At 36.8% G+C, this 17010-nt stretch overlaps 1 long non-coding RNA gene across 7 annotated transcripts in view; it reads left to right on the top strand.

Moving 5' to 3' along the window:
* Positions 1-10583: 10583 nt before the first annotated feature.
* Positions 10584-17010, top strand: part of LINC02840 (long intergenic non-protein coding RNA 2840) — a 121122-nt gene continuing 114695 nt past the window's right edge. For all 7 annotated transcript variants that reach the window (NR_183504.1, NR_183508.1, NR_183505.1 and 4 more), the window contains exon 1: positions 10584-10874. This is a non-coding gene — a long non-coding RNA (long intergenic non-protein coding RNA 2840). The remainder of the gene's footprint in view (positions 10875-17010) is intronic.

Here is a 17010-nt window from a genome sequence, read left to right as displayed (position 1 = left end):
GGTTTGCTGCACCCGTTAACTCGTCATTTACATTAGATATTTCTCCTAATGCTATCCCTCCCCCTGCCCCCCACCCCATGACAGGCCCCTGTGTGTGATGTTCCCCTTCCTGTGTCCAAGTATTCTTGTTCAATTCCCACCTATGAGTGAGAACATGCGGTGTTTGGTTTTCTGTCCTTGTGATAGTTTGCTCAGAATGATGGTTTCCAGCTTCATCCATGTCCCTACAAAGGACATGAACTCATCCTTTTTTATGGCTGCATAGTATTCCATGGTGTATATATGCCACATTTTCTTAATCCAGTCTATCACTGATGGACATTTGGGTTGGTTCCAAGTCTTTGCTATTGTGAATAGTGCCGCAATAAACATACGTGTGCATGTGGCTGTGAATCGATTTGGTCCTGGACTTTTTTCTGATGGAAGGCTATTAATTATTGCCTCAATTTTAGAGTCTGTTATTGGTCTATTCAGAGATTCAACTTCTTCCTGGTTTAGTCTTGGGAGGGTGTTTGTGTCCAGGAATTTATCCATTTGTTGTAGATTTTCTAGTTTATTTGCGTAGAAGTGTTTATAGTATTCTCTGATGGTAGTTTGTATTTCTGTGGGATCGGTGGTGATATCCCCTTTATCATTTTTTATTGCATCTATTTGATTCTTCTCTCTTTTCTTCTTTATTAGTCTTGCTAGTGGTCTATCAATTTTGTTGATCTTTTCAAAAAACCAGCTCCTGGATTCATTGATTTTTTGAAGGGTTTTTTTGTGTCTCTATCTCCTTCAGTTCTGCTCTGATCTTAGTTATTTCTTGCCTTCTGCTAGCTTTTGAATGTGTTTGCTGTTGCTTCTCTAGTTCTTTTAATTGTGATGTTAGGGTGTCGATTTTAGATATTTCCTGCTTTCTCTTGTAGGCATTTAGTGCTATAAATTTCCCTCTACACACTGCTTTAAATGTGCCCGAGAGATTCTGGTACGTTGTGTCTTTGTTCTCATTGGTTTCAAAGAACATTTTTATTTCTGCCTTCATTTTGTTATTTACCCAGTAGTCACTCAGGAGCAGGTTGTTCAGTTCCCATGTAGTCGTGTGGTTTTGAGTGAGTTTCTTAATCCTGAGTTCTAATTTGATTGCACTGTGGTCTGAGAGACAGTTTGTTGTGATTTCTGTTCTTTTACATTTGCTGAGGAGTGCTTTACTTCCAATTATGTGGTCAATTTTGGAATAAGTGCAATGTGGTGCTGAGAAGAATGTATATTCTGTTGATTTGGGGTGGAGAGTTCTGTAGATGTCTATTAGGTCCGGTTGGTGCAGACTTGAGTTCAAGTCCTGGATATCCTTGTTAACCTTCTGTCTCATTGATCTGTCTAATATTGACAGTGGGTGTTAAAGTCTCCCATTATTATTGTGTGGGAGTCTAAGTCTCTTTGTGGGTCTCTAAGGATTTGCTTTATGAATCTGGGTGCTCCTGTATTGGGTGCATATATATATTTAGGATAGTTAGTCTTCTTGTTGGATTGATCCCTTTACCATTATGTAATGGCCTTGTCTCTTTTGATCTTTATTGGTTTAAATTCTGTTTTATCAGAGATTAGGACTGCAACCCCTGCTTTTTTTTGCTTTCCATTTGCTTGGTAGATCTTCCTCCATCCCTTTATTTTGAGCCTATGTGTGTCTCTGCACATGAGATGGGTCTCCTGGATACAGCACACTGATGGGTCTTGACTGTTTATCCAATTTGCCAGTTTGTGTCTTTTAATTGGGACATTTAGCCCATTTACACTTAAAGTTAATATTGTTATGTGTGAATTTGATCATGTCATTATGATGCTAGCTAGTTATTTTGCCCGTTAGTTGATGTGATTTCTTCCTAGCATCGATGGTCTTTACAATTTGGCATGTTTTTGCAATGGCTGGTACCGGTTGTTCCTTTCCATGTTTAGTGCTTCCTTCAGGAGCTCTTTTAAGGCAGGCCTGGTGGTGACAAAATCTCTCAGCATTTGCTTGTCTGTAAAGGATTTTATTTCTCCTTCACTTTTGAAGCTTAGTTTGGCTGGATATGAAATTATGGGTTGAAAATTCTTTTCTTTAAGAATGTTGAATATTGGCCCCCACTCTCTTCTGGCTTGTAGAGTTTCTGCTGAGAGATCTGCTGTTAGTCTGATGGGCTTCCCTTTGTGGGTAACCCGACCTTTCTCTCTGGCTGCCCTTAGCATTTTTTCCTTCATTTCAACCTTGGTGAATCTGACAATTATGTGTCTTGGGGTTGTTCTTCTTGAGGAGTATCTTTGTGTTGTTCTCTGTATTTCCTGAATTTGAATGTTGGCCTGCCTTGCTAGGTTGGGGAAGTTCTCCTGGATAATATCCTGACAAGTATTTTCCAACTTGGTTCCATTCTCCCTGTCACTTGCCAGTACACTAATAGAACATATATTTGGTCTTTTCACATAGTCCCATATTTCTTGGAGGCTCTGTTCGTTTCTTTTACTCTTTTTTCTCTAAACCTCTCCTCTTGCTTTATTTCATTAATTTGATCTTCAATTACTGATACCCTTTCTTCCACTTTATTGAATTGGTTATTGAAGCTTGTGCATGCATCCCATAGTTCTCATGCCATGGTTTTCAGCTCCATTAGGTCATTTAAGGTCTTCTCTACACTGTTTACTCTAGTTATCCATTTGTCTAATCTTTTTTCAAGGTTTTTAGCTTCCTTGTGATGGATTCTAATATCCTTCTTTAGCTTGGAAAAGTTTGTTATTACCGACCTTCTGAAGCCTACTTCTGTCAGCTCATCAAAGTCATTCTCTGTCCAGCTTTGTTCTGTTGCTGGCGAGGAGCTGTGATCCTTTGGAGGAGAAGAGGTGCTCTGGTTTTTAGAATTTTCAGCTTTCTCCTCTGGTTTCTCCCCATCTTTGTGGTTTTATCTACCTTTGGTCTTTGATGCTGGTGACCTGTGGGCTTTTGGTGTGGATGTCCTTTTTGTTGATGTTGATGCTATTCCTTTCTGTTTGTTAGTTTTCCTTCTAAGAGTCAGGTACCTCAGCTGCAGGTCCGTTGGAATTTGCTGGAGGTCCACTGTAGACCCTGTTTGCCTGGGTATCATCAGCAGAGGCTGCAGAACAGCAAATATTGCAGAACAGCAAATATTGCTGCCTGATCCTTCCTCTGGAAGCTTTGTCCCAGAGGGGCACCCACCTGTGTGAAGTGGCAGTTGGCCACTACTGGGAGGTGTCTCCCAGTTAGGCTACACAGGGGTCACAGACCCACTTAAGGAGGCAGTCTGTCCATTCTCTGAGTTCAAACGCCATGCTGGGAGAACCACTGCTCTCTTCAGAGCTGTCAGACAGGGACATTTAAGTCTGCAGAAGTTTCTGCTGCCTTTTGTTCAGCTATGCCCTGCCCCAGAGGTGGGCAGTAGGCCTTGCAGAACTGCAGTGGGCTCCACCCAGTTTGAGCTTCCCCGGCCACTTTGTTTACTTACTCAAGCCTCAGCCATGGTGGAGCCTGCTGCCTTGCAGGTCGACCTCAGACTGCTGGGCTAGCAGTGAGCAAGGCTGCATGGGCGTCGGACCTGCTGAGCCATGCACGGGATATAATCTCCTGGTGTGCCATTTGCTATGACTGTTGGAAAAGCACAGTATTTGGGTGGGAGTGTCCTGATTTTCCAGGTACACTCTGTCACGGCTTCCCTTGGCTAGGAAAGAGAAATCCTCCGACCCCTTGCACTTCCTGGGTGAGGCAATGCCCCACCCTGCTTTGGCTTGCCCTCCATGGGCTGCACTCACTGTCCAACCAGTCCCAATGAGATGAACCAGGTACCTCAGTTGGAAATGCAGAAATCACCATATAAAAGAGTTCCTATTTCTCCACAGCCTCACCAGCATCTGTTGTTTCTTGACTTTTTTATAATTGCCATTCTGACTGGTGTTAGATGGTATCTCATTGTGGTTTTGATTTTCATTTCTCTGATAATCAGAGATGTTGAGCTCTTTGTCACATTTGTTGTCCACGTAAATGTCTTCTTTTGGGAAGTGTCTGTTCATGTCCTTTGCTCACTTTGTAATGTCTTTTTTTTTTCTTGTAAATGTGTTTAAGTTCCTTGTAGATTCTGGATATTAGACCTTTGTCAGATGGATAGATTGCAAAAATTTTCTCCCATTCTGTAGGTTTTCTGTTCACTCTGATGATAGTTTCTTTTGCTGTGCAGAAGCTCTTTAGTTTAATTATATCCCATTTGTCAATTTTTGCTTTGGTTGCCATTGCTTTTGACATTTTCATCATGAAATCTTTGCCTGTGCCTATGTCCTGAATGGTATTGCCTAGATTGTCTTCTAGGGTTTTTACAATTTTAGGTTTTACCTTGAAAAAAGATTAGACAAATGGATAACTAGAGTCTTTAGTTATCCAAATGGATAATTAAGTCTTTAATCCATCTTGAGTTAATTTTTGTATAAGGTGTAAGGAAGGGATCTGGTTTCAATTTTCTGCGTGTGGCTGTCCAGTTCTTCCAGCACTGAAAAGGGAATCCTTTTGTCATTGCTTGTTTTTGTCAGGTTTGTTGAAGATCAGATGGTGTGGCTGTGCCATCTTATTTCTGAGATTTCTATTCTGTGCCATTGGGCCATGTATCTGTTTTTGTACCAGTAACATGCTGCTTTGGTTACTGGTTACTGTAGCCTTGTCGTATAATTTGAAGTCATGTAGTGTGATGCCTCCAGCTTTGTTCTTTTTGCTTAGGATTATCTTGTCTATAAGGTCTCTTTTTTGGTTCCATGTGAAATTTAAAGTTTTTTTTCTAATTCTGTGGAGAATATCAATGGTAGTTTAATGGGAATAGCATTGAATCTATAAATTACCTTGGGCAGTATGGCCATTTTCACAATATTGATTCTTCCTGTCCATGGGCATGGAATATTTTCCCATTCATTTGTGTCCTCTCTGATTTCCTTGAGCAGAGGTTTGTAGCTCTCCTTGAAGAGGTCCTTCACTTCCCTCGTTAGCTGTATTCCTAGGTATTTTATTCTCTTTGTAGCAATTGTGAATGGGAGTTAATTTATGATTTGGCTCTTTGCTTCTCTATTGTTGGTGTATAGGAATGCTTGTGATTTTGGCACATTAATTTTGTATCCTGAGACTGCTGAAGTTGCTTATCACCTTAAGAAGCTTTTGGGCTGAGATGATGAGGTTTTCTAGATGTAGGATTGTGTCATTGACAAACAGAGACAGTTTGACTTCCTCTCTTCCTATGTGAATATGCTTTATTTCTTTCTCCTGTTTGATTGCCCTGACCAGAACTTCTATTACTATGTTAAATAGGAGTGGTGAGAGAGTTCATCTTTGTCTTGTGCCAGTTTTCAAGGAGAATGCGTCCAGCTTTTGCCCATTCAGTATACTGGCTGTGGGTTTGCCATAAATGGCTCTTATTATTTTGAGGCATGTTCCATCAATACCTAGTTTATTGACAGTTTTTAACATGAAAGGATGTTTAATTTTATTGAAGGCCTTTTCTGTATCTAATGCAATAATCATGTGGTTTTTGTCTTTAGTTCTCTTTATGTGATGAATTACATTAATTGATTTGCACATGTTGAGCCAGCCTTGCATCCTGGGGATAAAGCTGACTTAATTGTGGTGGATAAACTTTTTGATATGCTGTTGTTGGATTCAGTTTGCCAGTATTTTATTGATGATTTTTGCATCAATGTTCATCAGGTATATTGGCCTGAATTTTTCTTTTTTTGCTGTATCTCTGCCAGGTTTTGATATCAGGATGATGCTGGCCTCATAAAGTGAATTAGGAATGAGTCCCTCCTTTTCAATTGTTTGGAATAGTTTCAAAAGAAATGGTACCAGCTCCTCTTTGTACCTCTGGTAGAATTCAGCTGTAAATCCATCTGATCCTGGGCTTTTTTTGTTTTTTTTGGTTGGAAGGTTATACATTACTGCTTCAATTTCAGACCTTATTATTGGCCTATTCAGAGATTCAACTTCTTCCTGGTTCAGTCCTGGGAGGGTGTATGTGTCCAGGAATTTATCCATTTCTTCTTGATTTTTTAGTTTATTTACATAGAGATGTTTATAGTGTTCTCTGATGGTTGTTTGTATTTTCTTGGGGTCAGTGGTGATATTCCCTTTATTATTTTTTGTTGTGTCTACTTGATTTTTCTCTCTTTTCTTCTTTATTAGTCTAGCTAATGGTCTATTTTATTTTATTTTTTCAAAAAAACCAGCTCCTGGATTCACTGATTTTTTGAACGGGTTTTCATGTCCTTATCTCCTTCAGTTCATCTCTGCTTTTGATTATTTCTTGGCCTCTGCTATCTTTGGGGTTTGTTTGCTCATGGCTCTCTAGTTCTTTTAGTTGTGATGTTAGGGTATCACTTTGAGATCTTTCTAGCTTTTTGATGTGGGCATTTAGTGCTATCAATTTCCCTCTTAACACTGCTTTAGCTGTATCCCAGAGATTCTGGTATATTGTCTCTTTGTTCTCATTGGTTTCAAAGAACTGGATTTCTGCCTTAATTTCATTATTTACCCAGGAGTCATTCAGAAGTAGATTGTTCAATGTCCATGTGGTTGTGTGGTTTTGAGTGCATTTCTTAATCTTGAATTCTAATTTGTTTGAGCTGTGGCCCAAGAGACTGTTTGTTATGGTTTCAGTTCTTTTGCATTTGCTACTTCCTCATACTTCTTGTTCAACCTGCCCTCATTTCCTCCAGCCACCATGACCCTTTACAATCCTTAGACAGGTCAATCATGCTTCCCCTTAGGGTATGTTTGTTATGTTTTCCACTCCTTTGGATTCTCTTGCCTCAGATAACTGCTTGGCTGACTCCCTCTCTAACTCAAGTCTTTGCTTAAATTTCACCTTTGCAAAGTGGCCTCTACTGACAATATTAATACTAAACTTTTACCATTTCCCCTTCCACCATCTTGCTGTCCTCCAATTCCAACCTTCCTTTCTATGGTAGGTCATGCTTTACTTCTTCTTTATTACCGGCACTAATTACCTTCTACAGCATATAATTTACTTATTATTGTGTTGTTTGTTGAATCTCAGCCTGCTCCCTCCAGAACACAATCTCCTTGGGTTTAGTATTTACATTTGTTTTGTTCCCTGATATATCCCAAGTATCTAGAATAAAGCCTAGACAATCATATGCACTCAGTAAATATTTGTGGAATGAATTAAAGTTCATCATCAAATTGAATTTTTAAGGGACTTATTGCTAGGAAATGCCAAAATCTAAAAAGAGAGTCTTGAGTGCTTATAATCAAAAGCAATCATCAGCTCTTCCAAGTATGCCAAAAGGAAGAAAGGTCCTAAAGCCATGCAGCCCCAGAAGAGAATCATCCCCCATCCCTCTGCCCCTGACTCCCCACTCCCCCACCCCCAGGGTCCCTTCAGGTGTGTCAAGAAAGTCTTCAGAGCAAGAACAACTGTAACCAACCAGATTGCCTCTGGGGGCCTCATTTTACTGTAGAGCAAGGAATCATTACCCTTCCTTCCCACGGGGATGAGTATCACAGACCAATCAGCACTCTGCGGCTCTTCCTCTTCTCTATTTTTCAAGGGAAGCTCTTATTATGATGAGGATATTGTTATCTTTGAAGGTGGTACTTTGAGTGTGTTGGGATGATAAGATTTCTCATTAATTGGGACCATTGACTACTTCTTGGGCCATGAGGAACCACAATTGGAACTAACCAAGAAGAATTCACGCCCCTAGAGCTCTTAAACTCAGCACAGAACCCAGAAACTGGACATGACTGTTGGTGTCTCCTTGAAAAGACAATAGTGTATTATTTATTTTCAATTGAGCATAGAATATTTGTATGGGACTACATGTATCATGTTTGGAATTGGATGTATGCAGAAAAAGAGAAAGTGTGTGGACCTGGGCACTGATGAGGATGGTTTGTATGGAACAATAATTATTAGTTTAAATTTTTAAAATGGAAACAAAACACAATCAGAAACATGTACAAATTATAATAGATTGATGGCATATTACAAAGAAAATAAACTCAAGTAACCAACACTTAGATCAGGAATGAATACAGGCAGCATTTCAGAAGCTCCTCTGCCTTATGCCAATTGCATGCCCTTCTTTCTCCTCAGAGGTGACCACTCTCCTGACCTGTAACATTGACCTCTAACATCACAGATTACTTCCGCTTGTGTTTGGCTTTAATAAATGGAATCATGCAGCTTGTGTTGTTTTTGTATCTTGTTATTTTGAATAATATGTTTGTAAGATTATTATGCTTTTTTTTTTCAAATACCAGGGCTTTTTTTTTTTTTTTTTCCATTTTCATGCTGTATAGTTTTCAATTACCATGTATACCACAATTTAACCATTCTACTGCTTATGGACATTTGTTCTTTTATATACATTTTGGAATATGTGTATACATTTCTACTGGTTATTTAGGAGTGGGCTGTGGATTTGCTGGGTTATAGGGTAAGTATTCCTGCATATATTCAGATTTGGTAGATGCTGATAAACACTTCTTACAGGTGATTGTACCAATTTGCACTCCCACCAGCAGTCTGTGAGAATTTCATCTATTCTGCAATTATCATCAGTTGTTTTAATTTTAGCCACTCTAGTGAAGATGTAATGGCATTTACTGTGATTTTATTTGCATTTTCCTGCTGACAAATGAGAAATAAGCACATTTTCATTGTTTGCTTTATTTTGTTTTCGTTTTTTGACCATTTGACTGTTCTCTTTTACTGTTAAATTTTGTTTCTTATTGATTTACAAGAGTTCTTATATATTACAGCTACAAATCAACCTTTTGCTAATATATGAATTGCAGATATATATACCCAACCTATGGATCAATTTTTCACTTCCTTAATTTTATCATTTGGTAAACAGAATTATTAAATTTTAATGAAGCTTAATTTCTCTACTTTATTTTATGACTTTTGCATTATTGTGTTTTCATTATGGAGTTTTTGCTAACCATAAGGTCATAGAGATATTCTTCTATAATATCTTCCAGAAGCTTTATTATATACCCTTTTATATTTAGCTCTATAGCAAATGTGGAATTGATTTTTATAAAAAGTACAATGTTAGGAGTCAAGTTTCTATTTTTTTCTATTTTAATGTACATTTAAATAGCACCATCTATTGAAAAAAAATACCATTTCCCTATTGCTTTGCAGTGCCACTTCTCACAAAAATCAAGTGTTCACATATGTGCAGGTCTGTTTTTAGACTCTCTGTTTTGTTTCATAGTCTATTTTGGTAGCTTTGCACCAATCTTATACTATTTTAGTATTGCCAGTTAATATTACCAGTCAACTATTGATTTATCATAACACAACTCTTCTAACTTTATTCTTTTTCCATAAGACAATTTTGGTTTTTTCCTGGACTTTTGCATTTTCATATATATTTTAAGATCATCTTGACATATTCTATAAAAAATCTTGCTAGGATTTTGATTGACAATTTACTGAAGCTATAGATAAATTTGCAGAGAATCAATATGGTAACATGATTGAGTTTTCCAATTCACGTACATAGTACACTCTTTGATTCTGAGGTTTTAAATTTCTTTATCAACGTCTTATAGTTATTTTTGTAGTGATCTTACATGACTTTTGTTAGATTTATTCCAACTATTGGTAATTGTTTGACGCTATTATAAGTGATGTGTTTTTAAATTTTACGTTTCTATTTTGTGTTACATAGAAATGAAATTGACTTTTAAAATTATTTTTTAATTTGTATTTATTTTTATTTTTTTATTTCCATAGGTTTTGGGGGGAACAGGTGGTGTTTGGTTACATGAGTAAATTCTTTAGTGGTGATTTGTGAGATTTTGGTGTACCTATCACCTGAGCAGTATACACTGAACCCAAATTATAGTCTTTTATCCCTCCCCCCATAATTGATTTTTATATAATAAATTTGTAAATAGAAATATTACTTATTAATTTACTTATTAAATGTACTTATTAATTATAATCCTTATGGATTATTTTGGATTTTCTATGTTAATACTAATATCATTTGCAAATAAGGACTGTTTCATTCTTTCCTTTCTAACCCTTATACATTTCATTATCATTATTCATAGTAGTTCTATTCCATAAGATGTTGTAAGTTATATCCTATAAGGTAGTGACAAACATTGGATTAGTGAATGCTGAATCATTGCTCCAAGGAGAAATACAAGGTTAAGTTGCTGTGCACCTCTGATCACAACTTTTTAAATCAATATATCCACGTAATCTTGTTTAATATATATTATTGATTCATTAGCATTGAACTCATGGCATTCGACACCGTAACTGATGCCTAAATAAAGTTTATGTGGCACATATTTTTCTACATAAGGCATATCACAGCTTTCTGGCTTTGTAACAGTAGATAGCACTTCAGCAGTATGCTTGGGGGCTGTTTTAAACAGTATAATCGCCAATAAAAATACAACAATGTGGCACTAAACAAACCAAGGAAAGGACACTTATTTTATTTTATTTTTTTTTTCTGAGACGGAGTCTCGCTCTGTCGCCCAGGCTGGAGTGCAGTGGCGCGATCTCGGCTAACTGCAAGCTCCGCCTCCCGGGTTCGCGCCATTTTCCTGCCTCAGCCTCCCGAGTAGCTGGGACTATAGGCACCCGCCACCACGCCCGGCTAATTTTTTGTATTCACAGTACAGACGGGGTTTCACCGTGTTAGCCAGGATGGTTTCGATCTCCTGACCTCGTGATCCGCCCGCCTCTGCCTCCCAAAGTGCTGGGATTACAGGCGTGAGCCACCGCGCCCGGTGGAAAGGACACTTTTTTACAGTATGAGCACTGAAACAAAAAGGCAAAGCAAGGTCTGTTCACCTTCAGCTGAGAACGTGAGGATTGGTGAGTCAAATTTTGCACTGCTCTACAGGTGCCTGTCAATGTCTGCAACAGTGCAGAACTGATTTTGGGTGACAAATTTCAGCCAGTAGGTGAATCTGCAAAAACTGAATTCTTTTGCAGATAACTTACAGTAAATTAAGGGACTTCTCCTTTATTAGCAGTTATCAGGGTTTTTTAAACTATTAATGTCTATTTTATTTAGTTATAATTAAGTGAAAACCTCTGCCATTTTCCCGAATGAGAAGACAATTTTCTTGTCAATTAATTTATGAATTTAATGTCGTTCCAATTCCAAATCTAAGAGGTGTGTGTGTATTGTGCATGTGGGTTTGTGTGTGTACAAGGGGTGATGGGGAAGGAAACTAAAAAATCATCTTTACAAAAATTTAAAAAAATCTTAAGAGTGTCCTACACTTTCGGTGGAAAATACAGTTACATTTTATATAGATTAAAACATTGGCTTTTACTTTTATTGTCATACTTCTTAGGAATGTATAGTGGACTTTGTTATCTGTACCCAGCTCCCCCTTCAGGCGTGGAGGATTGTCACTCCAGCTGCTGGCTGTGCTGCCGTCTGATAGCTCTCAGCTGTCAGCTCTCTTCAGGATTCTCTCTGCTCACAACAGGCACCTTGTCCAAGAACCCACCCTATTCCCAGAGCAGCCCACATCCAATAACTGATCTGGGCGTATCCTGGCCCAATACTCTGTCCATGCTGGAAGGCTCCTCACTTCAGAATGTCCCATGGGATAATCTGAGGACTTCATGGAGACTAATTTCCCTCTCTGCCCAATCTTACTTCCTTCCCTTCCACTGTGTTGAAACCAAGAACACTTTTTAATAAAGTCCTGCATATTGATCTCCACCTCAGAGTTGGCTCCCACCTACCTTAGGGCACCTTTAGTATATAGTGGGAAGGGCCCAGGTATGCTCAACATCCTGCAATGAGGACTGTCTTGCCCAGCAAATAATAGTCTTGATTTTGTACAATTTTTAAAAATACACCACCAGACATTCATGTACTTAGAAAACTTTATAATTTTCAGAGCCTAGAACGGAGGTATTTTAAATATATAATTGCAGAGTATATTTTGCAAGATTTTATGTTTTACTGATTTTTATTAGCAATGCAACTACAATGTAAAATGAAAGAAGTTTGTGTTGTGTTTTGTTTGGAATTTTCCCAGTCATTGTTCCCTACTGCGAAAACTAAAGGCAGTAACATGCGTGTCATTCATGGCGCTTGTGTTAACACAGCACACTGATAGTAGACTCCATGTACAGCTGTTTCACCCATGATAAGTCTGTATTCAGGGACAAACATCTGACTGTCTTATCATGTATTCAAATTCAAATATATTTGTACGTTCATAACAAAATATTGACTTATATGTTATTTTATATTAAATTACTTTTATTTTCTCTCCCTCATAATTAAGACAGTATATTGATTATTTTGCAATCACAGGTGTATCAATTCAATAATTTTGTGAAAGCTCCTATTCCAATTTCCCACAAAATATCCTTTTTAGTTTATTTTTTAAATTTTGGATTTAGAAGCCAATCAAATACTGGGTTTTGTTGTTATGTCTCTTTAGACTCTTTGTTCTAGAATGGCTCTTCCACATACGCCCTTTGTGACACTGATTTTGTGCAGTGGTTTTGTGCATTGTCCCACAATTACATATGTCTATGATTAGGATTTCTTTGATTGTTTCCTCATTACCAGATTCTCTTTGAAACATTTTTTGGGAAGAATAGTCATAGGTGAAATGGTGTTCTTACCAGTGGGTTACATTAGGAAGCAAATAATATCAGCTTGTCCTATTACTGTTACATTTGATCACTTGGTATTCTTCCATAAAAACAACTTTCTACACTGTGTAATTAGTTCATCGTTTTTGGGGTAAGACCTTTAAATGATATGAATATCCTGTTTTACAAGAAAATTTGACCCAATGGTTTTAGCATACATTGATGATTGTTGCCTGAATCAATGATTCCACTGGGAATTCCAAAACAGTAATTTTCTAATTCCAGAATTTCTTCTGGACGTATTAGCTGTCATTCTTTTGTCAAGAAGAGTGTGCTTTCCTTCCTTTCCCTGCCTTTTTTGAATATCAATCATTCAGAACTTTATTTATTTGTTTATTTATATATTTGAGACGAAGTTTTGCCCTTGTTGCCCAGGCTGGAGTGCGATGGCACGATCTCTGCTCACTGCAACCTCTGCCTCCCGGGTTCAAGCGATTCTCCTATCTCAGCCTCTCAAGTAGCTGGGATTATAGGCATGTACCAACACACCCAGCTAATTTTGTATTTTTAGTAGAGACAGGGTTTTGTCATGTTGGTCAGGTTGGTGTTGAACTCCTGACCTCAAGTGATCCACCAGCTTCGGCCTCCCAAAGTGCTGGAATTACAGGCGTGGGCCACTGCGCCCGGCCCAGAACTCTATTTATTTTAAAATTTTATGCCTTATAATATATTGTTTTGATCATTATTTTTTACTGAAGTTCAGCCACATTTTGCTAATGGTAACCCTTGGATCTTGTTTTGGGGCACTTTCTTACTTTGTGGCAAAACAAAATGTTCTGTTCTCTCATTGTACTCTTCTTCTTCTGACCGATGTGCTTATTGCTACTGCAGGTGTCACTGCTTCTAGACTATATATAAATCTATTTATAAATCTTTCATATAAATCTACCTGTCAATTATCCATCTATTGAGAGTGAGTAGTTCAGACTGATATCTAGAATTTTCATTCAATATATAGAATTCTTCCTTTCCATTTCCATATCTTGTTCGACAATATCAACGTACATACCATTGACTCTTATCTATAATACAAAAAATATTTTCAGAATTGCTCCGCTGATATCACATCAACAGCAAACTAACCAAGTAAAGTTCATGATTTCTTGGCAGTCCTTTCTGTCTTTAGACTATATGCCCTTTCTGTTTTTAGAATATATCCCACTTAGGGAATAATCAGGATATATCCCACTTAGGGTATAATCAAGTTACTTGATTTAATATTTTTCTATATGATTACTTTATTAATTTGATATAGCTATATAGGCTCATTTTTTTCTGACTGGTGTGCTATTTTAGTTTTTTTCTCCAATTCTTGTGAACGTTGTTTTATTTTTGGGACTGTGAAAGTAGTAACATGTTCAAAAGTAAAGTTTATATAAAAAGATATGCTCAGATAAATCTTATTCTCCTCTTGATTTATTTTCTCATTTCCCCTACCCTTTTGTGGTAGTGCATGACATTAATTTTAGATTTACACTTCCTTCCTACCTTCCCAGGTTTTTTTCTGTACAAAGAAGTAAATACATATATATCTCTCCTCTTCTCTTTTTAAAATAAAAGTTGCATACTTTTTTTTGCTTTTATCATTTAATAAGTATGTTAAAAATCATGCCATATCAAAAATTACAGACCTATCTATTCTTTCCAGTGGTAGAGTATTTCATTGTGTGGATGTAATGTAGTTTATTCAACTCTTCTCCTATTTATGAGCAATGAGGTTGTTTCTAGTATTTTGCAGTTTAGACATAGTGCCACAGTGAAAACCCTAATTCGTATGTTTTTGTATTGTTGGAGATATACGTTTAGCATTAATTTCTAGAAAAATGAGATTGCTGCAGCAAAAGGTAAATGGATATGTTGTTTTGTGAGTTATTGCTAAATTCTGCTCCATGTAGATTTCACCATTTTGCATGTGTGTATGCAATTATGTATGACAGAACCAGTAATGTACCATAGAACCCGTTTGCCATAGTCTTGTTGACAGTGTGTAATGATATTTGAGAATGTGATAGATGCCATACATGATGTCTGTTTATTTTTGTTTCTCTTGTGTTGAACATCTTTTCATGTGTTTAAGTGAGGTTGAACACCTTTTCATAAGTTTGAGTATCATTTCTTTATATGTCTTTGTGAGAGAGAGAGAGAGTGCGAGAGAGAGAGAGAGAACTGGGGAGTGAGGAGGCAGGGGAGTTATTTGTGCCCTTTGCCTATTTTCTTCATCTGGTTTTTATATTTTTATGTTTTCCCTCATATTTTAAGAGTTATTTATATGTTATTTTTTGCCATGTACTTTTTGGTTTCAGTTTTGGCCCTCAGATTCTTCCAAACCTTATTTCACAAGAAAAATATATAACATGACGAAAAGAGACATGGAATCAAGGCATGTCATGTAGTTTATTTTTCCTTGCTTGTTACTTTTATGGAGTCTTCATCTGTAGATTTCGGCTGGTTCAGCAGTCTTTGTCCAATGTGTGTGGAATGCTGTCCACACCTCAGAGGAGCACTTGAGAAATGTGCACAGAGGATATACCACATGAGTAAATGGCTGTGGAGAACTAAAGCAATTTCTATTGAGTACTTAGTTAATTCACTCAAGTAGATAAATACTTTATGAAGATTATTAAATTGTTTTATTGAATTTTTGTAGCAAACACAGCTGTGTTCTACTATTATATAATTTACCTCTTATTAAGGAAGTACTTTAAGAGTATGATTGGGTCCTTGAAAACTATACAATGCATTGGACAGTCGTAATGCAAAGTATTAAGATAGAAATACAACGTTCATTGCCATCAGAACAAGGGGTTTTTCACTGCATGTGTTAGGTGTTGGTTTAATGAAACTGGTTTATTTTCCTCCGTCATCCCTTTGACAATTTTTATGTATGTCATTCCTTCACCTAAGTAATTTAATGCATTCTTTCCAGTGCACTTTTCATTTGCTAACTAGTTATCAAAATACAAATAAATGCCATTAAAAACTCAATTAACTTATTAGATGTATATGCTTGAATTTGTGGATTTCTTCTTAAACTCTTAAATCTGTGAGAGCATCAGCATGTGCAGGCCAGTTGCTTTAAACAGACTGCAGAAGATTCAGAAGCAAGGCGAACCTAGAAAGGTTATTTAGAGCTTTGTTTTTAAATGTATACATTCAAATTTGTTTACAGAAGGTTACCCTCAATATAGACATTTTGGTAAAACAGGAAAAGATGAAAAAACCCTACCTAGTTCCAACATACTTAAACATACAGGGTGTGGTCATTTTAGCATGATTTCCTATCTATTAGTCCATACATAATTTTTTTTTAACATATGTATCTGGCTTTGTGTGTCTCCATTTATAATATTCTGTAATATTTTATTTCACCAGATGTAAAATAATTTATATGACATTTCAATAGTATTGTATTTTTTCTGTATTTTAAAATGAATTTACTGTTTAATTCAATGTAATCTTTTCATTTGACTCTTTAAACATTTGTAGCAATAGCTATAGAAGAGAAGAAAGTACAATTAAAACCTTGAATACCAGGTGAATTGATTTTAAAAATTGCTGTATTTATTGGTTTAGTCTCCTGTGGTACAGCTAAGAATAAAAAAATGATGTAGACCTGAATGGTTGATAGAATTACACATTCTTCTTCAGAAGTCAATGGTAACCTGTTTCAGGATGCATATATTTATATATTGGTACTCATATATGAATCATTTTTGTTTAGTTCATATACTTACTAACTACTTTGTAATTGCATGGGCTATTTAAGGATGTGTGGAGAATAAAATAAGTACTTTCTACTTCTAAGGTATTTTAATTCTAGTAGATGGTAAAAATTCATATTTTTTCATGAAGCACATAAAATGTATAAATTTTTCATATAACTTAAAAGTTTAAGATTGGAGTTGGAGAGATTACCTTTTATTCATTAAGAAAGAGAACAATGTATATTTACAAATTGATAAGTACTTAGAATTACATTTGAAAAAAAATTAGCCAGGACAGAAAAATATCAGCAAATATTGCTAAAAGACCACAAACTGAAAAACTGTAGTCTAAAAAAACAAAGTTGTAAGCCCCTTACTGGTATACCAATGCTTTTTTAAACTATTGACAGTTTTTGCCTTTTTGAGACAGGGTCCCGCTCTGTCACCCAGGCTTGAGTGCAGTGGCGTAATCATGGCTGACTTCAGCCTTGATCTCCTGGGCTCAAGTGATCCTCCCAACTCAGCCTCCCAAGTAGCTGGGACCACACTCGCAGGAGCCATCACACCCGGCTAATTTTTGAAAGTTTTTGTAGTGGCAAGGTCTCACTACGTTGCCC

The sequence above is a fragment of the Homo sapiens genome, chromosome 6, assembly GCF_000001405.40.
Source record: "Homo sapiens chromosome 6, GRCh38.p14 Primary Assembly".
NCBI classification, from domain to species: domain Eukaryota; kingdom Metazoa; phylum Chordata; class Mammalia; order Primates; family Hominidae; genus Homo; species Homo sapiens.
This window is presented reverse-complemented; position numbering and strand designations above follow the sequence as displayed.